The sequence below is a fragment of the Homo sapiens genome, chromosome 7, assembly GCF_000001405.40.
Source record: "Homo sapiens chromosome 7, GRCh38.p14 Primary Assembly".
Lineage (NCBI taxonomy): Eukaryota > Metazoa > Chordata > Mammalia > Primates > Hominidae > Homo > Homo sapiens.
The window spans coordinates 48,412,800-48,436,673 of NC_000007.14; the positions used below are offsets into that span (position 1 = coordinate 48,412,800).

General features: G+C 38.0%; 1 protein-coding gene across 22 annotated transcripts in view; it reads left to right on the top strand.

Moving 5' to 3' along the window:
* The window catches only part of ABCA13 (ATP binding cassette subfamily A member 13), a 476,040-nt gene that overhangs the window by 241,342 nt on the left and 210,824 nt on the right, over nucleotides 1-23,874 (top strand). For all 22 annotated transcript variants that reach the window (XR_926914.3, XR_926915.3, XR_926919.3 and 19 more), the window contains one exon: nucleotides 14,967-15,072. Coding sequence is in view for 19 of the 22 variants with exons in the window: in XM_011515130.3 (XP_011513432.1) it covers nucleotides 14,967-15,072 (106 nt within the window). In the remaining 3 variants the exon portion in view is untranslated. The remainder of the gene's footprint in view (nucleotides 1-14,966; nucleotides 15,073-23,874) is intronic.

Here is a 23,874-nt window from a genome sequence, read left to right on the forward strand (position 1 = left end):
CTTTTAGCATTCTTTTTTTTTGTTTTGTTTTGTTTTTGTTTTTGAGACGTAGTGCAGGCTGGAGTGCAGTGGCGCTATCTCGGCTCACTGCAAGCTCTGCCTCCCGGGTTCACGCCAGTCTCCTGCCTCAGCCTCCTGAGTAGCTGGGAATACAGGCGCCCGCCACCACGCCTGGCTAATTTTTTGTATTTTTAGTAGAGATGGGGTTTCACCATGTTAGCCAGGATGGTCTCGATCCCCTGACCTCATGATCCGCCCGCCTCAGCCTCCCAAAGTGCTGGGATTACAGGTGTGAGCCCATGCACCCGGCCTCTTTTAGCATTCTTGTATTTGAGAAGCTTGGTGTCTTTAATTCAGAATCATGAGGTGTTTAAACAGTTGTCAGTAGTGGTTGATTGCTGGTTGTAATTCTTCATGTAGAGATGCCCTCCTCTTTCTGCTTCTGTCTGGGAGTCTCTGGCCCCATGCTGGGTATCCGTGATGTGAGAGGGTTTAGCACGGGAACACTGCAGACGCCTGGTGAGCTCCCATCCCCCAGGTCCCACTTTTCTCTACCTGGATCTGAGGTGGATGAGACCACTCCATGTGGGTTCTTCATAGAGTACACTTAACAACAGGCAGAAATAGGCGTTTCCTCCAGGAGGACATTGCTACGTTGTGTGACCCAACCTGAGGCATGCCTTGTTTGGGGTTCTTGAGGTTGGCTCTCTGTGTGGGCAGTATTTGAGCCCTAATTTTACATTGCTATTATTTATATAAAATGTCACGGGTTTTCAAAAAATCAAGTGCTGCAAGTTAAAATTTTTAAAAATCTGCAAAAGTCAAAGTCTGAACATTCAGTTGTGTTTTGGAATTGATTCCTTGGGTTAGTGATGCAGGAGGAAAGGCAATCTTTTGTGTGATAAATCAGTGTGGTCCCAAGTAGATAGCCTCCATCACAAGTTTTGTCTGGAATAAATAGTCATAAAAGATTGTGAAACATAAAAAATATTACAAAATGCTTTTATACATAGAATGTATTTGGTTCCCCTGAAACTCCGTAACTTATTATTCCTATTTTAAGGTTGAGTAAGCTGAGGCTCACATAGGCCAATTTCTTTACCCCAAATCACGAAGGTCGTAAATGGTGAGCTCTACTTAGACCTAGGGTTTCTGATAGTTAGTCAAGTTCTCTAAATTAGCCCATACCTTTGTGGTTGATGCTCTGTATTCCATGCATCATCAGGACTGGAGTCCATCCATTCCCACTGCGTTTTAATAGAGCAAGTTACAGTGCAAGAGACAAACAAAAAGCAGCCTAATAAACACACATGATGAATAGGAGCTGTTTTCTAAAGCCAAAGGATGCGGTCACTACATCTTTTCTTGTCTGGCTGTCTCCTATTTTCATTCTTCAAGTCTTGACATGAACGGCGCCTCTGCAGCGGATTCCCAGATTCCTCAGCATCAATTCTGTTCCGTGTTCTCCCCACCCGCCCTCACTGCACTCTGAAGCTTTTCTTCGTGACACTTCTCCCAACTTGTTATGCATGCTTCTCTGTCTCTCCCATGGACGCTGAGATCTGTGAGTGCTTGTATCTTTTCTGCCCACCTCTATAGCAGCAGTGCCCAGGACAGTTACTGGCACTCATGGTTGCTTAATAAATATTTTCTAAGTGAACAATGTGCTGAACCTTTCCAAAGATTCATCCAGCTATATTTTTAATATAAAATGAATATTTTATTATTTAATAAAATAATACATATATATTACACATAATATACATATGTATACATATGTAACATATAATATACATACATATACATATATTACATGTAATAATACATAGATATTTAATAAAACATATATATATGTTCAGGGTTTCGTTGTGTTGCTCAGGCTGGTCTGGAACTCCTGGGCTCAAGTGATCCTCCCACCTTAGCCTCCCAAGTAGCTGAGACTATAGGTGTGTGCCACTGCATCTGGCACCAAGATTTTGATCTTTAAAATGGAAAAATCAGAACAGTTTGCCTGGTTTCCCAAGGAGTAACAATCATGATTAAATGCCTGGAACAAGTCTGTCAAAAATGGTAATGGCTTTTCTCACTTACAGTGGGATTGCATGAGACGTTGCTGCCGTAGCTTTGGAGTGACCACGGAGCTAAATAACATCTATACCCCCAAAAGTCACCTTTCCTCCAGGAATTTTTGGGAGACAGCAGTCTTCCCTGGGCCAATGTAGAACAAGAAGGAATTTCCTAAGCCCCTTTTCCCCAGATTGCATGAGTCAGAATGCAGGTTTACAGACGTGCTGCTAACTAAAGCACCATACTTGAATGCAGCTATGTCAGACACCACAGTTGTCACTATCTTCTTAAATGTGAATAACAAGTCCAAATATTATATTGGAAGCTAATCATTTGGACAGTTGAGAGCTGTCAGCTGGCATGAGTCAGTTTCCCTACAGACAGAAGGAGGCGCTGCTTCCAGGGGTAGTTTTGCCATCCTGGGTCACTTGGAAAAGAAAAATAAAATAATTTTTTTGGGGGGTTATCGAGAGAAATTGTCAAAAAAGCCCAGACTTCTTATGTTCATGTCTGTCTCTCTAATCATTCACCGGGTTAATCCGGTTGTTTACTAGTTGTATGGTGTCTTGTACAGATAAATTGAACATATTCATAAGCTCACTGGACTCTCAGGGCAGGGAGGAAGATGCTGTAGGAATATGGACCAAGCACACTTATCAGTGAAATAATGAGTGTTCACCCCCAATGTATTTACTGATTTGCAATTAAACACATGCGACAGGAAGAGTGGGTGTTCCCTTTACGTAAGTGGCATTTTGCTTGTTGTTAACAAAAGAGAAATCCTTGGTAATACTTTTAATTTTTATTATTAAGAAGAGTGAAATTTTGTGGAACATTTTGCTTCAATATTTTATGAATTTAAATATCACAGAAAAAAAAACTGGTGAGGAAAGCCTTTATATCACGGGTGGATGCTTAGCTCTTAATTGTTTTGTTAATTATTGTGGCATATATGACCAATCAATAATATCTCCAGGTAAAACATACATTTAGGGAGAGGCTTATTCATAACCATAGCACATGTGAATAAGATACTTCAGTATTCTTTTTAGTAATTCCCTTCCTTCCTGCCTTCCTTCCCTACCTCTCTCTTTTTGCCTCCCTTCCTCCTTCCTGCCTACATCCTTCTTTCCTCCCTAATTTTCAGGTCTGTCTGAATTTTTAGTCACATCTGAGACTAAAATGAAGATCCCACAGGAGTAAGAAAGTGTCAGCTGTGCTGTTTCATGTTTGCTGTGCTTGTGTTGCTCGTATTATCTTCAGAATCTTTTAAAGCCACTATCTCCTTTATAAGTGTTATTTTAGTAAAAACTAGATAAATCAATGTAAAAATCTACTTAGACAGGCCTCTACAAAGCTGCAACCTGTTGAAACTTGAAGAACTGTCACTGTGGCCACAGAGGCCACCAGTGCTCCTATCAGTCTTAAATAGGAGGAATTCTTTATGTCTGATAGGTTCCGCCTAGGAATAGAAACTGAGATTTCCATGTTTCCTTCTGCACCCCCTGGGGTGCTGAGAGAGCTGGGCCTCGACAGAGCCTGCAGGGCCACGGGGAGTGGTTTGCATTCTTGACCATGCATGGTGCTCCCTCACTGCACTCACTGCAGAATGACTCCCCTACCTTGGCACCCTTACCTGTAGGTTGGGAATCATGGAAGGAACCACAACATAGGGTTGAAGGGAAGAAACTTCTAGTGCAGCGCGTGACACACAGACAGACGACATTTGTTCTGCTTGATAGGGACTTGCATGAGATGCCCTGGGAGGATCCCCAGTCGGAGAGTGCCCCGGGACCAAGGGAAGCCTCCTGCAGGCGCTCCCAGAGGACAAGGCTGGAGCTGCAACCTGGGTGTGTCTTGGGGTTTAGAGGCTGCACCTTTTGCTTCCTCACCCTCCAGGTCCAGCCTCCCACCTGCCCCAGACCCATGTCCATGCTTCTCCTTCTGATGTCTGCCCCTTCCCCACTCTCTTCCCTACAGAGCTCGGGCCTGTTAAGAGCTTGCTGTACTTCAGTCCTTCCATGCTCAGAATTCTAAACCAGTCTTGGAATCTCACTGCATCACTGCATATACCTTTTTTTTTTTTTAAACAGGAGTTACCCATTTCACAATATTTATCTTGAACAGTTTTTATTTTTCCCATAGTCATGATGTTCATGGTGACATAATTTCTTTTACAAAAATGTGTCCTTATGTAGTTCCTCCCCTCCCTGCTTTAAGGCACTTTGGTTGTTTCTAAAGTTTTGATTTTACCATTGAGACTGTACAAGTCCGAAGAACAGGATCCCCCAGCTTTTCCATAGACTGATTCCTAGAAATGCAATTACTGGGTCCAGGGGATAACCCTCAAGATCTGTGACGGGGTCAAATGACAGAATCCCCAAATGATGACATGCATTTGTGTCCTAGATGCTTTTTTTTCATATGCCTCAATCTTTTCAACATTTCAAAAGAAACCCAGTGCCTTCTAGTCACATTTAGGATTTCCTAACTGGCCTGCTGCCCCATATCTTCTTCAACCCATGGTTGCCATGGGAAGGGCCTGGGAATCAGGACAAGAACATTGACACTTGCATTTATGTTTCATCACTTCCTGTCGGGGACAATCTGGACAAATCACTTAGACTGGAACCACATTTATTCATTTATTTTAATTTTAAAAACCTTTTAAAGAGCAGTTTTAGATTCTCAGCAAAATTGAGCAGAATGCACAAATTGTGCATTCTGTGTCCCTCTGCCTCCCTTGCCCCCAGCCTCCTCCACTATCAACATCCCTGCAGAATGGCTCATTTGTTACAATTGATGAACCGACATGGACACATCACCATCCAGCCCATTAGGCTTCACTCTTGCTGTTGTACATTCCATGGGTTTGGATGAGTATATAATTCCATGTATCTGCCATTATAGTATGATATGGAACAGTTTCACTGCCCTGAAAATCTCTTGTGCTCTGCCTAGCCATTCCTCCCTGCCCGAAGCCCCAGCCCTCAGCAACCACTGATCTTTTTACTGTCATCGTAGTTTTACCTTTTCCTGAATGTTGCAGAGTTGGGAATCATACAACCCTTGTAGCCTTTCCATTTTGGCTTCTTTATCTTAGTAACATGGATTTAAATTTTCTCTGTGTCTTTTCATGGCTTGATAGCTTATTTCATTGTACCGCTGAATAATATTTCAGTGGCTGAATGTACCATAGTCTATTTATCTATTCATCTACTGAAAGACATCTTGGTTGCTTCCAAGTTTTAGCAATTATGAACAAAGCTGCTATAAATATCTGTGTGCAGATTTTTGTGTGGACATAAGTTTTCAACTTACTTGGGTAAATACCTAAGACTGCAACTGCTGTATCTTACAGTAAGAGTGTCTTTAGTTTTGTAAGAAACTGCCAAACTGTCATCCAAAGTACCTGCACCATTTTGTGTTTCCACCAGCAATGAATGGGAGTTTCTGTTGTTCCATATTCTTGCCAACATTTGGTGCTGTTAGAGCTCTGGATTTTAGCCATTCTAATAGGTGTGTAGAGGTATCTCACTGCTGCCTTAATTTGCATTTTCCTGATGACATATGATGTGGAGCAACTTTTCATATTCTTATTTGCCATTTGAATATATTCTTTAATGAGGTGTCTGTTTAGGTCTCTGGCCCACTTTTTAAAAATTGGGCTGTTTGCTTTCTTATTGTTGAGTTTTAAGAGCTCTTTGTTAACTTCATTTTTCTCATCCCTACGGTAGGTTTATCTTCCCTATCTTCCACACACAGTTTTTGTTTAGGTCAAATCATATAATTAAACTGAGTGCAGGTTACATATTGCTGGATTGTGGCATAAATATGAGGAATTATCAATATTTTTTCTACTATTTATATCCAAAACACATATGCAGTGGTGTATTTTCAGATTAGACACTGTTATATTTTAATCTGTCTATATTTTAATGTTACAGAATACCTTGCATTATAGAATAACTTCTAAAAATTCTTTTTATGTTATGTATTAGTCCATTCTCACATTGCTGTAAAGAAATACCTGAGACTGGGTAATTTATAAAGAAAAGAGGTTTAATTGGCTCAAGGTTCTGCAGGCTGTACAGGAAACATAGCAGCATCTGCTTCTGGGGATGGAAGGTGGAAGGCAAAGAGGGAGCAGGCATCTTATGTGGCAGGAGCAGGACCAAGAGAGAGTGGGGAGGTGTCACACACTTTTAAACAACCAGATCTCACAAGAACTCACTCACTCGCTATACACTACCAAAGGGGGATGGGGCTAAACCATTCATGAAAACTCCACCCCCATGATCCAGTCACCTCCCACCAGGCCCTACCTTGGACATTAGGGATTGCAATTTGACATGAGATTTGGGTGACGACACAGATCCAAACCATATTATGCTATATTCCTTAAATATCTCTGTTTCTGTTTAGTAGTCACCTTTCTTTTACAAAATATTTGTATTTGTACTTTACCCATTCATATTCCTTTTGGAAATTTCTCAGTCTTCCTCCTCTTTGCCCTCTTTTCTTAAAAAATTTATATTTATGTACTTCATATGTAAAATTCCTACAGTAAAATTCACTATGAGTTTGACAAATGTATAGAGTTGTAGAACCACCACTCCAATCAAAGTACAGAGGAGTTTCATCCCCACCACCTTCTGAAAAGAGTAATTCTTCCACGTAACATGCCTCTGCAATTTTTTAAATCCAGGATTCATGTTCTTGCTGTTAGTCACCCCAGAACAGCAAGAACTCCTCATTAGTCAGTGAGGAGCAACAGAACAAGTTGTTCAATTACTTTGGAGATGTAGTACATGTTTCTTCAATTTCTTACAGTAATTTCTACTTTCTACATTTAGTATGTGCTTTGCACATAATAGGTCTTAAATAAATATTGATTTACTAGATTTTACGTATCTCTCTTTTTCCACATCTCTCACACACACGGACGCTAAGAAAGAAATTATCTCTCTAAGGGCAACCATGGGCAAAGAATCTGGAATATATATACAATGTATATGAGATCTAACAAAATATAAATGGTATATTTAGAGCCGTTTGAGAAAGGTATCTTAAATTGGAAAAAGATTGGGGCTTTTGGAGAACCTTCTTTTGTTTGGTAGAGGCTATAAAATGTCTGTCTCAACCAATTTTGTCTCTTGACACTTGGCGAGCATTGACTTTCCTTTCTTATGTCTGATACACAGTTAGCATGGCTGTTGTAGCGCTGAGGGTGCTTTTCTCTTCCTTCATCTGCATTTTGCCTGATGACTTTACAGGAGTGAGGAGGACCTGCCAATTAACTCTCCAGTTGAGCTCTTCAGCTAAAAAGCATATTTTATTTCTAAACTGGAATACACTTACTATAAATTATGATCTCCAACTTTACCTACAAGCTAGTGAAATTAAGATTTAAAATGAAATCATGATAGTCACCAGTTTCATTAAGGCATCTGTACTTTCTACTCCAATGCTTGGACCTAAGGACAATCCTGGCAAGTTACAATGTTTACTTTGTGTGGGATGGGACCATAGAGAGTTAGAAGACTTGGCTTTGCATATGGAATATATTTTCGGCAATCTCTGAAGCCAAGACAAAACTTTCTGGCATAATGCAAACAGAGTAAATTTTTGCAGTGTATTTTTTAATAGTTTTGAAGTTTTTAGTAATGTTTTAGAAATGCTGGTGAGCCTGCCTGAGATGTGAAGTTTCTTTCCTTCCAGCTTGCTAAATACTGATTAGTGGGTTCCCTTTGTACCTTTGCCAAGGAGGTTCTGGATGCTAGTTCCTTGGGTGCATGAACTCAGCTGCCCCATCCTACACAGCATTAAGAGGTAAAGCCTGGGCCTCAGATGTAGGGCTTGATCTTTTTTTTTTTTTTTGACTTTTTTTTAGAACAATTTTTAAGAAAAAAGAATTGCTGTAAAATCTTTGCCCATTTAAGTTTCAATTGTGCCCCTCATGTCCCTAAGAGCAAAAGGATCCAGTCCAGGATCACGAGCTGCACTCAGTTGCAGGCCTCTTTAGTCACTGTCAATCTGCAAGAATTCCTCAGTTTCCTTGACTTTCATGACCTCAATATTTTTGAAGAGTCCAGACCACGTATTTTGCACAATGAGCCTCAATATGGGTTTGCCCTATTTTGCTGTGATTGGTCAGGTTATGCATTTTTAGTTGGCATATTCCAGGGGTGATGCTGTGTCCCACTGCTCCTGGCTGCCTGCTACACAAGGCTGATCTGTCCCATGGCTAGTGAGGTGATCTTTTTTCCCAGGTAAAGTGGAAAGTGGTGTCTGCCAGGCTTTCCCACTCTTAAGTTAATTTCCTTTTCTCTCTCTTTTTTTTTTTGAGGATATATTTTGAGAATCTGTAAATTCCACTTTTCTTACCCACCTGTTTTTGCATCTTCTGATGTTCCTTGCCAGAATTAAAAATTATTACTATGGCACTTGCCAAGTGGCGATTTTTCTAATTCCATCATTCCTTCCATGTGTTTTAGTTGGCATTGTCCAGTAAGAAAGAACTCTCTCTTTACCCCATTGACCTATTTATATAAGGAACCACTCATAGCATTCTATTCTACTCAATGAGTTACAATTCAGTAGGGTCATTATTTACTTTGAGGCTCATGTCATACCAAGTTGAGCCAGTGGGAGGTCCTTCAAGCTGGTTTTTGTGCCTTTTAACTCATGCCTCCCATTCTTTGAGCATTTTCCTGCTTCCTGACAAAACAAGATGTTCTAGGATTGCCATTCTTTCCCAGCCCTGGCTCTAGAATCAGCCATTTCTCCAAGAAATCCTGGCTGCTCAATACGCTCATGGTGATTGGGGTGTTGCTGCTCTGAGGTTCCCTCATGGATAAAGTAAAAGATCCACCTCTATTTTTGCTTCTCTTTCTGCCTATAAATACAAAACTAGGAGTTCAACTCCACATCTCTAATTCCAATCCAATTACACAGCATTCATTTAGTGTTTCCTCTTGCCTTATTTGTACCGCCCTTCACTGATAATGAGAAACTCGACTTACTCATTCTTATGCTACCTTTTCCCTTAGTCCTCCTGTGTGCAGCTCATCTTCCAAGGCCTCCACACTGCTTTGCTGCTCTGCTCACATGCTGTCTTGTGTGAACCTGCCCCACTTCAGCTGCCACTTTCTGTTGGCCCCAAACCCTAATCTGGTGTCTTTCTTACAAAAAAAAAAAAAAAAAAAAAAAAAAAAAGAAAAAAGGAAAGAAGGAAGAAAGAGGGAGGAAGGAAGAGAAGGAAGCAGGTACTTTTTTGAGAGACCCTGTTCCCTTTTTCTTTCATGTGACATCCTGTTTGTTGTTGTTTTTTTCTTTTTTTTCTTTTTTCCTAAAGAACAATACATTCAGTATTTTGAGGATTCTTCATTTGGGGGCTAAGGTCTTCTTAACTTAGAACAGTCTCATGGTCTAAGCATTTATGCAGACAGCCTGCTGTCTTGTTAACACTGACTGTGCTATCAGCCCTTTGACTGGAGTGCTGTGACCCATTCTTTGCATTCTGTTTATAACAAGGTGTTATAGGATGTCACAGAGCCTGAGTGTGAACTAGAATTGACTTTTTATAACTTATGTCTTTTAATCTTCCCCTTGTACGAATAAGCAAACTGAGAGACCAAGAGACCAAAAAGGTAATGAGCTGACCAAAATCAGACATTGAATTTTTTTTCATTTTGTGTTGGACTCCAAAATTTTCTACTCTACTTACCAACGTCTCCTGTTCTGTAGTCTCCAGGGACACCTCAAATCAACAGCCCTTGTTTCAAAGGTGTGTTGATGGTGTGATAGTTCTAGGACAGGCTGGATAATGGTCCCCCAGCGACGTCCACGTCCTTATCACTGAAGCCTGTAAGTGTTACCCATATGGGACTGTGGCAGGAGATATCCCAAATTATCTGGGTGGACTTGATGTAATCAAAAGGATACATCAAAGGGGGATCGAGGAAGGTCAGAGAGGAAGAAGGTGATGTTATGATGAGGCAGCAGTTGGAGAGATGAGCTTTAAAGATGGAGGCTGGGGCCATTGGCCAAACAATATTGGCAGCCACTAGAAGTTGGGAAAGTCCAGGGAGTATATTATCCCTTGATTTTAGCCCAGGAAGGCCCATATTAGGCTTCTGACCCCCAGAACTGTAAGATACTAAATACATTGTCTTAAGCCACCACATTTGTGGTAATTTGTTACAGCAGTGATAGGAAATTCATACAAGCTCCTGTAAAATAACAAATCTTGCTGCATGCATTGTGTTAGCATGTCAGGGGACAGCCCTGCCCAAGATCCCATATTTAGAGAGCAGTTGCTAGTACCTCTAGTGTTTCGTATCATCTAAGTTGTCCATGTGTTTTCATCTTCTGCTTCCTTAAAAAACAATCACTTTGGGGAAACAGAAAGAGTACATCTTATGTGACATGTAGGTCAAGTTTGGAAATTCTTCCTCTGCTCAAGTCATCACTCAGCTGGGTTCCATTGTCCTTGTCTTACAAAAATTTGGTCAGCTTCAAAAATTTCTCTAGCATCTAAGCAAAAAAGTACCTTGCACTGACCATCTCCAGGACACAATCCATCAAACTGACACTTTAAGTGTAGATCATATCTGGGGTCTCATGCTGCTTGACAACACCCTTTAAACAGAGAACCCAAAAGGATGGGGCATAGGACTCATGGCTGAGGGACTGATAGCACAATCAGTGTAGAGATGACACTGGGCTGTCATAAATGCCTAGACCTCAAAGCTCTTTTAAATTAAGGAGATGTAGATCCCCAAATGAAGAATCCCAAAACTTTTGAATTTACTGTCCCTTGAAAAGAAAGAGTGGATACACCATAGGCATTGCTTTTAAAGCATATTTTTGTTACATTTTAAATTACTTTCATGCTAGTTAGTGTCCTTTAGACATAATTTCATCATGTCTTATTTTATTCTTATTTACTTTGTGTGATGAATTTACCTAAAAATTAATGACTAGTTTGACCAACTTGATTGTCCTTTGACTTGAGAAGCTTGTAATTTCAGTGAAATTCAAAACATTAGATAAGATTGAAAAGAATATTCTACTTCTTTTGTATGAAAGTGGGAAGGTGTAGGTCTTATTTGGTCCATTTGAATTGGCTTATGGCCTATATTCAGTTACAATGATAGAAAATACCACCAAAAGAGGAGGAAGACATATGTATAAATAATGTCATTCCATACTAAATGCACAAACGCAGCATTCTTCTTAAATTGGAAAGTGTAGCCAGGACATTAGATGTTTAGCCTGCATTCACTTCCTGTGCAGTTGCCTAACCTTTATTTCTATCTCTTTTGGAAGATTGTTTATATGTTTTGATCAGGACTTTTATACTCTTAATAAGAATATTTTTGCAGTATTTTGCATCTCCTCATAATTGTTGAAATGAAAGAGAGTTTACGTTTCTTTATTTGAATTACTTTAAAAAACTTGAAGAACACCTTTCGGTATAAATAGTGATTTAAATATTGCTGGAAAGTATGTATCAGATAAGAAGGAATACAGTGAGAACTCAGTTAACATTGTTGATGGGTTCTTGGAAACTAAGACTTTAAGCAAAACAACTTTTTTTCCCTCATCAACATTATAACAAAATGGCGTTGAATGAGATGACATTATTTGAGGACCTGCTGTATGTCCTTTTGCTGAAAGTTGCAGTTGTGAACAACAACTTACTGATGACGCTAAGTGAGGACTTACTGTAAAATGATGTAATGTGGAAATTCTATGTCCAGAATTCAGTGAAATGTTAGGAGCCTTCTTGTAAGTTTTCTTTCATTAAATCCCTGGGTAATGTTCTATTCTGGATGTTAGGGTTACCTGAAATACTTGCCAAGGGGAGTTTTACAGTTGCTGTCTGTGTGATTCAGTGTGAGAATTATAATGCAAAATAACAAAGGCAAAGTCTGCCATCAAGACTCCAAATCTTTGATTACAGTGATCAGTGTCATATTGCTTTTGAAAAGAGTAACCTTTATTTGCCCTCTCTGTTAATTGGGCTACTTTGACATTTTGTCAAAATCTCAGAGCCTCCCGGACAGCCTGCCTGCAGTTAAGGTGAGTTGCCACTTGATGGCACGCATAACATTCTGATGGTCTTAGGCTTGCCTTTCACTGTTCATAGGCAAAGTTCCAGAATTTTCAGACACATTGTACCCAGATACTTAGTGCCGTACCATAATTGATTGTATCTCCTGCTGATCTGTGAGATTATTGAGGGCAAAAACTCTGTCCTTATTCTGTTTCCTCCTCTAACACACACATGCCCACAAATGTGTGCATTCAAACATGTGCATATACATTCACACATGTTCATACACACTCACACACACACACCCTCCTCCCCGCCACATACAACTATGGCCTTTTATGAGAGGGGCTAGAAAAGGAAAATTTAAAAAGGACAGATGAATATTGTTATCAATAATGCCTTAGTTATCAAGGTATGCTTCATATAATCATAGTTAAATATGACCATTAAATGAAAATTCCATTTAGAATAAGATATAAAGGAAAATCTTTAGTCAATGAATAATTCTTGATTTTCACTATTTCTATTGTTTCCTATTTAATTCCCTATAAATGCACTAGGTGAAGACTTACTGCACTAAGCCTCAGTGCCCTCATCTTAAGCAAGGATAATAGTACTCATCTCATCAGATTGATCTGAGAATTACATGATGAAACATAGCACATACACCCTACTACACTTACTCATCCTTATCTAGCTACTGTTGAGACCAGACATTGCCAGCATGCTACATGCCAGGCATCGTTTTTATAACTTTATATATAAATGCATTTATTGCTTGCAACAATCCTATAATATGTCTTATTTATTTATTTATTTATTTATTTTTTCGAGATGGAGTCTCGCTGTCGCCCAGGTTGGAGTGCAGTGGCGCAATCTCGGCTCACTGCAGGCTCCGCCCCCTGGGGTTCACGCCATTCTCCTGCCTCAGCCTCCGGAGTAGCTGGGACTACAGGCGCCCGCCACCTCGCCCGGCTAATTTTTTGTATTTTTAGTAGAGACGAGGTTTCACTGTGTTAGCCAGGATGGTCTCGATCTCCTGACCTCGTGATCCGCCCGCCTCGGCCTCCCAAAGTGCTGGGATTACAGGCGTGAGCCACCGCGCCCGGCCTCTTATTTATTACCATTTATCATGTGAGGAAACTAAGTTAAAGAGTGGTAAAATAATGTGTTCAAGGTCACATGGCTGGCGCACACTCAGAAATGTTATTAATCATTCTTCTTCTTATTATTATTTGCAATAGTAGTGAGGTTTACAGCTTTTCCTTGGAGTCTTACTGAGAATCAGCAAAGTGTTATCTTTCACATGAAGGTAGCTGCATCTGACCTTTCACTAGTGCTACTCATGCAGATTTTGCTCAGTAGGATTCCATGCAAACTAATTAACCACGTGCGGAGATATTGCATGCCTCTCCTGAAGGCTTGCTTGCTCATGGCTTCTTCTTTCTGGTGCCTTCCCCCATCTTTCCCTGTGGTTAGGGGCTCCTCAGGAACATCTAGAGACAGTCAATCCCTTTTTGCTTGTTTAGAGGAATCAGAATGGTGAGGTTGTGTAGAGAAATCAGAAGTGAGGCAGGGTGCTCAGTGTGGGCTGAGATCTGTATATGCAGGTATAGGACTTCACTACCCAGGGCATTGGGTGGGAGGTACCAGCTGGATGGACAGTGACGCTGGCCCAGCAGGAGTCACTTGGAGAGGGGCCAGGGCCAGGGACCAATATCTCTATGGATACGTGCAGAGGAAGGGGTGATGGAAGCACCTGCACAGATGATGCTAAGGGAGAGAGTGGCAATGCACAGTGCCTAGCTTTGTGCATGGCCCACAGAGAACGTTCAGGAAACCTTGGCTAACCACATGAATAATAGAAGACTTACTGCATGCTTCCAGAGTCTGTGCCTGGCACTTTACAGCCATCATCTACTGAACTTTAAATACTGTGATCATCATCTCTGTTTTATTAATACAACGAGGCAGCCAACACTCTGCGTGGTGCAGTCCTATGCCTGCAGACAGAGCCGGCCCACATCTTGCCAAGAGTGGAACTCCAGCAGTTAGGACTGTGCTGCTGCAGGGCGATGTCTCCTTGACTTGTATGCTTCTCGTGAATTGCCCAATGTTTATTTTAGAGATTCTCTTTCCATCACTCCATAAATCCCTGCCAGCGATCCAGGTGCAGCTCAAGGCCCTCGATGTCTCCACCCCACCTCATTTCCCTTTGTGTCTGCTTGCACTTCTGCTTTCTCACCTTATTTTTGCTACTTTAGTCATAGTATTTGGCTTTGAATAAACTGAGGTTGGACTTCTGCCTCCACTACTAACCAAGAAATGACTTCAAGCAAGTTATTTGATTAACTACCTTAGTGACATCATATATCATAGCCCATGGAAAGCATACATTTAATGGGGATTTTTATGTATGAGATCCCATCTACTGTAAGTAAACTGAGCATTGCAATTTTATTGTCTGATTCACCTCTGAATTCCTAAGATGCTGGTACAGTGAGTCACAAACTTAAGTTGAATTGGATACACTGTGTTGCTATCTGTCCCCTCCCTGCCTACCACTGCCTATGCATTTGACCAGCCTCCACTAGCCCGTGAGGGTCTGGGAGTTCACAGTCAAGTTTCATTCATCTTTGCATCCTATGGGTAGCCTGTTTTGCTGAGACCTAGGTAGTCTTAGAGTTATGCCAATTAAATGGATGGCTAAATGAAATATATGGGGTGTGTTTGGCATATGTTGTCACAACCGGATTAGGCAATTGAGGCAGAAGAAAAGAAATGCGATGTGTATAGAAACATAAAATAATACATGGCGTTTTTTTTTCTCCGAAAGGTGTTTTTGATGCTTTTGCAAGATTCCAACAAGAAATCTCACATTGCCCTGGGGACTGAGTCAGAGCTGCAGAACCACAGGCCTACAGGACATCTGTCTGGCTACTGTAAGTACAGAATGGCTTCCTGCATTTCTGCTGGAGGAACAATGACACCAGCCTTATTCAACATCCCTTGTTTTAAAAGTTGTATAGCAAGGTTCTGAAGTTAGTGAGGAGATGTGAGTGTATAGTGAGGGGGCAAGTAAATACAGGTCAGAGGCAAAAAAAACGTTGAGTTTTATCCTGGCTTGAAAAAAAAAAACTGTGTGTTTATGGGACACATTTATCTTTTCTTCAGGACTTGACTTAGTATATAAAAAATTTCTCAATGTATACAGTTAGAATAATGACCATCATTCATCTTATTTTACCTTCATCACAAACAAACTGATCTGGCCTACCTGCGTGGTGTGCCTCTTATGTGCAGGCACCCTCCTGGTAATGGATTTGCATGGTTTAACAAAGCCCCGGATGTGGGCTTTGCCTTCATGCGACCTCTGTCCCTTTGGGACCAAATCATGGCTTCAGCTTTTGTATGCAGCCTCCTTTATAGGCTTTAATGATTGAACAGAATCCAGATTTGGTATCTAGGTGTGTGACTGAAGCTCCAGTTCAGTCCAATTCCTGGCATATTTATTAGCAGCAACTCAGCAAGGATCCCTGAGCTGAGCTCTAGGGATGTGGAGGGTAATAAATCTAAGAGCTTTCCTTCAGAGATTTCAGTCTACTAGGCACATGAACCCATGAATAAGTAACTAGAATTAAATATGTTATAACCTTTTATGATGTTTCCCAAATTGCATCCTTACCAGCAACTGTAGGAATTGCTATTGCTGTACTTCCTCTTCAGCTCTTAGTAGTATCAGATTTGAAAAACATATAATTTAGCTATTAAAATAGATGTGTAGTAGTTTCTCATTGTGGTTTTAATTTGCATTCTCCTAATGATTATGTTAGGCATATATTTTTATTTCCCACAGCTTTATTGAGATATAATTCACATAACACACAATTCACTCATATAAATGGGACCATTCAGTGGCTTTTAGCTTCTTCAGAGTTCTGCATTCATCACCACAATCAACCTTATACCATTTTCATTACTCTGAAAACTGGTGTCACTTAGCAATCACTCCTCAAAATCCCCATCTCTTCAGCCATAGGCAACCCCTAATGTACTTTCAATCTCTAATAGATGTGCCTATTTTGGACATTTTATATACATGGAATCATAGTATGTGTGGCCCTCTGTGACTAGCTTCTTTCACTCAGCACAATGTTTTTGAGGTTCATCCATGTTACAGCGTGCCAGTACTCAACTTATTTTGATTACCAAATATTTCATTGTATAAATATACCACATTTTTGTTTGTCCATTCACCAGTTGATGGGCATTTGGGGTTGTTTCCAGTTTTTTACTATTGCAAATATACTATTATGAACATTTATATACACAATTTTTGTGGATATGTTTTCTCTTACATGTATACCTAGGAGTGAAATTGCTGAATCATATGTTTCAATCATTTGAGAAACTGCTAGACTGTCATCTAAAGTGATCACACCTTACATTCCCACCAGTAGTATATGAAGTTTCTAATTTCTCCACATTCTCCCAACCCTTGTTATTATCTGCTGTTTTGATTACAGACACTTTAGTGGATGTGACACACACCTTAGTGTGTATCTCATTGTGGGTTTTATTTACATTTCACTGGTGGCTAATGATGTTGAATATCTTTTCATAGGCTTCATGGCCACTTGTATATTTTCTTTGGAGAAGTCATATTCAGATTTTTTGTCCATTATTAAAATTGGGCAGATTTTATTTCTAGAGCTGGAAGAATTTCTAATTATGGAATTGTGTGAGTTAAGTGGAATGGTAACTAGGTTTTCATAAATGCCGTTTATGAAGTTGAAGAAGTTTCTATCTGTTCTTAATTGTGGAGTGTTTTTAATCATGAAAGGTGTTGGATGTTGCCAAATGCTTTCTCTGCATCTATTGAGATGATCATTTGTTTTTTGTTTATTTATTTATTTATATGGTATATTTTTGGTTTTTGGTAGTTAAAACAACATTGCATTCCTGGGACAAATTCTACCCGGTCATGTCATATATTGCTGGATTTTATTGTGCTAGTATTTTGTGGAGCATTTTTGTATCTTTATAGCAGGTATTGGTCTGCAATTTTCTTTTCTTGCAGTGTCTTTGGCGCTGTTATCATGGTTATCTTCACCTCATAGAATGAGTTGAGAGGTGATCCCTTCTCTTCTATTTTGTGGACATGTTTGTGAATAATTGGTATTAGCTCTTCTTTCAATGTTTTGTGGAATTCACCAGTGAAGGCTTCTGGGTCTGGGCTTTTCTTTGTGGGTAGGTTTTTTAATTATGATTAATTCAAATATTTAATTGATGTAGGGCTATTAGATTATCTATATTTTTCTCAAATCAGTTTCAGTGTTTTATGTCTTTCTAGGAATCTGTCCATTTCATTTCAGTCGTTATGCTATTTTATGTTATTGGCATACAATTGTTCATAGTAATCAGTTATAATTCCTTTTGTTTTTTAAAAGTCTGTAGTGATGTTTGTCAGGCGTGGTGGCTCACGCCTGTAATCCCAGCACTTTGGGAAGCTGAGCTGGGTGGATCATGAGGTCAGGAGATCAAGACCAGCCTGGCCAACATGGTGAAACCCCGTCTCCACTAAAAATACAAAAAATTAGCTGAGCATGGTGGCAGGTGCCTGTAATCCCAATTACTTGGGAGGCGGAGGCAGAGAATTGCTTGGACCCGGGAGGCGGAGGTTGCAGTGAGCTGAGATTGTGCCACTGTACTCTACCCTGGGCGACAGAGCAAGACTCCGTCTAAAAAAAAAAAAAAAAAAGCCTGTAGTGATGTTTCACCTTTCATTTCCACTTCTAATAATTTGAGTCTTCTCCGTTTTCTTGGTTAATCTAGCTGAAGTGTTGTCAATTTTGGTAATGTTTTCACAGAATCAGCTTTTGGTTTTATTGATTTTTCTCTTTTCAATTTCATGAAATTCAGCTCTAATTTTTATTATTTTGTTTCTTTTACTTACCTTAGATTTAGTTTGCTCTGTTTTTCCAGTGTCTTCAGGTGGAAGTTTGCATGAATTTGAGATCTGTTTTTTATAATTATAAACATTTACTGCTATAAATTTTTCTCTAAGCATTGCTTCAGCTGTACCCTGTAAATTTTGATATGTTGTATCTTCATTTTTCATTCATCTCAAAGTATTTTTTAACTTCTCTTTTGATTTCTTTCATTTCTTATTTAGGTTGTGTTGATTTCCACATATTTGTGAGTTTCTAAATTCCCTTTTGTTATTAAAGTCCCATTTCATTTTATTGTAATCTGAAAGAAACCAGAATGGGTTCATATTTTTAATAGAGATGGGATTTCACCATGTTGGCCAGGCTGGTCTCAAACTTCTGAACGTGGGAGGTGGAGGTTGCCTTGAGCCTAGATCATGCCACTGCACTCCAGCCTGGGCAACAGAGGGAGATTCTGTCTCAAACAACAACAACAACAACAACAACAACAACAACAACAACAACAACAAATCTCTTTTCAACTTATTAAGGCTTGTTTTATGGTCTATGCTGGAGAAAGTTCCATGCCTCTTGAAAAGAATGTTCATCTGTTGTGATAGGTGGTGTGTTCTATAGACATCTGTAATATTTAGTTTGTGTGTAGTGGTTGTTCAAGTCTTTTGTTTTCTTGTTGATATTCTTGTAAATTATTTTATCTGTTAATAAAATTTGGGTATTGATATTTCTGATTATTATTGTAGAATTGCCTATTTCTCCCTTTAAATCTGTTGACTTCTGTTTTTATGTCTTTGCGGGCTCTGTTAGGTACATAAATCATCACAATTTTATATCTTCCAGATGTAAGCCTTATTTCATATCTTTTATAGTCTTCTTTCCTTCTTGTATTCTTCCTGGTCTTTTTAGACAGTGCTGGCACTATACCTGATGAAGCAGTTTTCGCAAACACTTTGTGAAACCTTCTTAGGTTTCAATAATATTCATCCATTAGACAAAAGCCAGGTGTTTTTGAAATAACCTCTTCTGTATTTTTTGGCTTCTACATAGATGGCAGAGGGGACCACACCACAAAGCTTCCTAGAGGTCCTCTGGTTTGGTTGAGTAGACCTGTGAGACACACTTGATCTTTTTTAAAATTTTTTAATTTTACATACGTAACAAACCTGCACGTTGTGCACATGTACCCTAGAACTTAAAGTATAATAATAATAAAATATGTGTATACATTATATATAACCCAGTTAAAGAAAACAAGTAATGCAGTTAAAAAATGATCAAATGACCTGAATAGATAGACATTTCTCAAAGGAAGACATGCAAATGGCCAACAGGTATATGAAAAAATACTAAATTAATAGTCAGCAGAGAAATGCAAATGAAAACCACAATGAGATATAACCTTATATCTGTTAGAATAATTAATATTAAAAAGACAAAAGATAACACATGCTGGTGAGGTTGTCAAGAAAAAGGAACTCTTCCATACTGTTGGTGGGAATGTGAATAAGTATAGCCATTATAGAAAATAGTATGAAAGTTCTTTAAAAAATTAAAAATAAAACCACCATATGATCAAGGAATCCCATTACTTGGTATATATCCAAGGAAATGAAATCAGTATATTAAAGAAATATCTACACTCTAATGTTTATTGCAGCACCATTCATAATAGCCAAGACATGGAATCAACCTAAGTGTTCATCAACAGATGAATGGATAAAGAAAATATGGCATATGTACATAGTAGAATACTATTCAGTCTTAAAAAAGAAGCAAATTCTGTCATTTGTGACAACATGGATGAACCTGGAGAACATTATTTTAAGTGAAATAAGCTAGGAACAGAAAGGCAAATGCTACATAATGTCACATATATGCAGAATTTTTAAAAGTTGAAATCATAGAAATGGAGAGTAGAATTGTGGTTACTAGGGGCTGGGAGGGGATGTGGTGAGGAGATGTTGGTAAATGGATACAATATTTCAGTTATATAGGAGAAATAAGTTCAAGAGATCTATTGTACAACATGGTGACTGTAGTTAATAACGTTTTGTATTGTTGAAAATCTCTAAAAGAATAGATGAGTTTTCTCATCACAAAAAACTATGTGAGGTATTGCATATGTTGATTAGCTCGGTTTAGCCGCTTCACAAGGTATACATATTTCAGGACATCATGTTGTATATGATAAATATAATTTTTATTTGTCAACTATAATAATAAACAAATAATAGTTTATGACAGGTTAAAAAAAAAAGAAATAAAATCTACCAAGTGTGCATTCAAACACATACATGTAAAATATCTTTGGAAGGGTAAAAAGATGCTGGTAATGGAGTTTGCCTCTAGGGGAGGAAACTGAGTAGCTGAAGGATTCTATAGCCCCCTTGAGATCTTTGGTAGATTTGCACTATGTGAATTTTAGCAACTGAAAATAATTAAAAAACAAAGAAAAATAAAAATAAGTACAGTACTCAAAAAATATTTTTTTCATCTAGGACGTTTTTTGGTAATAGAAAATATCAAATGGAAAATTAACTAGCAAATGTGTTTTTATATATGATAAATATATAATATAAGTACATATATTTATATACATATATATTTATGTATTATATATGATATATATTTTTACTGTGGTAAAATATACATAATATAAATTTTACCATTTTAACCATATTTAAGTATACAGCTCAGTGGCATTACGCACATTCACATTATTGTGCAACCATCATCATCATCCATTTCCAGAACTTTTTTATCTTCTCAAATTGAAACTCTGTACCAATTAGACAACAACTCCTCATTTCTCCCTCCCCCAGCTCCTGGAAACCACCATTCTAGCCTGTGTGGCTGTGAATTTAACTACCTCATATAAATGGTATCATACAGTATTTGCCCTTTTGTGACTGGCTTATTTCACTTAGAGTAAGAGTTTCAGGGTTTATCCATGTTGAAGCAAGTGACAGAAATTCATTCTTTTATAAGGCTGAATAATATTCCATTATATGTATGTATCACATTTTGTTTATCCATTTATCTGTTGATGGACATTTGTGTTGCTTTCATCTTTAAGTTACTGTAATAATGCTGCTATGAAAATTGATGTACAAATATCTGTTCAAGCCCCCTGCTTTTACTTTTTTTGAGCATATAACAAGAAATGGAATTACTGGATCCTATGGTATGTTTGATTTTTTGAGAAATTGCTGTATCATTTTCCACAGTGGTTGCACCATTTTACATTCCCACCAGCCTGAACTAGGGCTCCAGTTCCTCCATATCTTCACCAATGCTTGTTATTCCACCTTTTAAATAATAATCATCCTAATGGGTGTGAAGTGGTATCTCACTGTGGTTTTGATTTGCATTTCCCTAAGGACTAGTAATGTTAAGCACCTTTTCATGTGCTTATTGGCCATTAGCATATCTTCTTTGGAGAATCCTCTAGTAAGGCCTTTGCCCATTTTTGAATGGGGTTGGTTTTTGTTGTGGTGGTGACTTGTAGAAGTTCGTTGTTTTCTGGATATTAATCTCATATTAGAAATATAATCTGCAATTTTTTTCTCTTTCCATGGGCTACCTTTTTACTCTATTAATTGTAGTTTTTCTTGTACTAAAGTTTTTAATTTTGATGGAATTTAGCTTACCTATTTTGTTGTTGTTGTTGCCTGTGCTTATGGTGGCAAACCCAAAAAATCACTGGCAACTGCAATATCCTGAAGTTTTTTCCTGTGTTTTCTTCCAAGAAGTTTATAGTTTTAGCTTTTACATTAAGGTCTTTGATTTATTTTGAGTTAATTTTCTATACTGTGTATGGTAGGTGTCCATTTTTATTCTCTTGCATATGGATATCCAGTATTCCCCACATCAGTTATGGAAATGACTTTTTCTCACTGAATGGTTTTGGCTCATTTGTTGAAAACCAATTGACCATATATGTGAACATTTTCTTCTGAGTTCTCTATTTTATTCCATTGGTCTTTACGTCTGTTTTTGTGCCAGTTCCACACTGTTTTGATTACCATGGCTTTGTAGTAACCTTTGAAATCAGAAAGTGGGAATTCTCCAAATTTCTTCATATTTATCAATATTGTTTTAGCTATTCAGGGCCTCTTGGGATTCTGTATGGATTTTAAGATTAATATTTCTTTTTCTCCAAAATGTCATTAGAAACTTTAGAAGAATTGTATTGATTAGTTTAGATAGTTTTGGGTGGTATTGATATCTCAAAAATATTAAGTTTTCCAATCCATGAACATAGACTATCCTTCCACCTGTTTGTGTCTTTTTCATTTTCTTCAGTAACATTTTGTAGTGTTGAGTGTACAAGTTGCTTGCCCTCATGATTAAGTTAATTCTTTAGTATTTTATTCTCTTTTATGTTATTGTAAATGAAATGATTTTCTTAATTTCTGTTTTCAGATTGTTCATTGCTAATGGAAGAAGTGCAACTAATATTTGTGTATTGATTTTGTATCCTGAAACTTTGGTGAATTTGTTTATGAGTACTAACATTTTGTGTTTATGTGTATGTATGTGTATTTTTTAGAGTTTTATACATGTAAGACTGTCATCTGCAAACAAAGATAATTTTACTTCATCCTTTTCAATTTGGATGACTTTTATTTCTTTTTTTGCCTAATTGAGCTGGCTAGGACTTCCAGTGCTATCTTGAATAGAAGTGGTGAAAGTGAGCATCTTTGTCATATTCCTGATCTTAGAGGAAACATTTTTAGTCTTTCAATATTGAGTACAATATTGGGTGTGGGTTTTTCATAGATGGCCTTTATTATGTTTAGGTAGTTTCCTTTTATTTCTAGTTTGTTAAGTGTTTTTATCATAACAAAGTGCTGAATTTTGTAAAAGTTCTTTATGTGTCAATTGAAATGACCATAGGTTTTAAAAATTTTATCCTTTTAATGTGTGGTATTAACTTGACTTTTTTTTGTATGTTGACTCATCCTTGCCTTTCAGGAATAAATCCTCCCTTGTCATGATGTGTAATCATTTTAATATACTGTCAAATTTGGTATGCCAGTATTTGTTGAGAGTTTTTGTATCAATATTCATAAGGAATATTAGTTGGTAAGGTTTTTTTTTTTTTTGGTAGTTCCTTTGGCTTCATAACTCATTCTGTGAGGCTAGCATTGCCTCATACAATGAATTAGGAAGTTTATTCTCCTCTTCAATTTTTTCAAAGAGTTCTAGGAGGCTTGTTGCTAATTCTTTATAGGTTTGGTAGAATTTACCAGTGAAGACATCTGAGCTTTATTTTTATTTTTATTTTTTGGTGGGAATATTTTAATTATTGATTCTATCTCCTCACTAGTTATAGGTTTACTCAGATTTTCAATTGCTTTTTGATTCAGTCTTAAAAGTTTGTGTGTTTTAGGAATTTATCCATCTTATCTAGGTCATCAAATATGTTGGTACACATTGTTCATACTATTGTTATAATCTTTTTGTTTCCGTAAAATTGGCAGTAACACTTTCTTTTCTGACTTCAGTTATTTGAACCTTCTTTCTTTTTTTCTTAGTCAATCTAGCTAAAGGTTTATCTATTCCGTTTATCTTTTTTAAAGAACAAATTATTGACTTCATTGATTTTTCCCTATTGTTTTTCAACTTTGTATTTTATTCATCTCTGCTTTAGTATTTACTCCATTATTTCTGCTAGGGTTAGGTTTAGCTTTTTTCTTCTTTTCTTATTTTTTAAGGAATCATGTTAGAATGTTTACTTGAAGTCTTTCTTCTCATATAAGAGAAGAATTTAGAGCTATACATTTCCTTCTT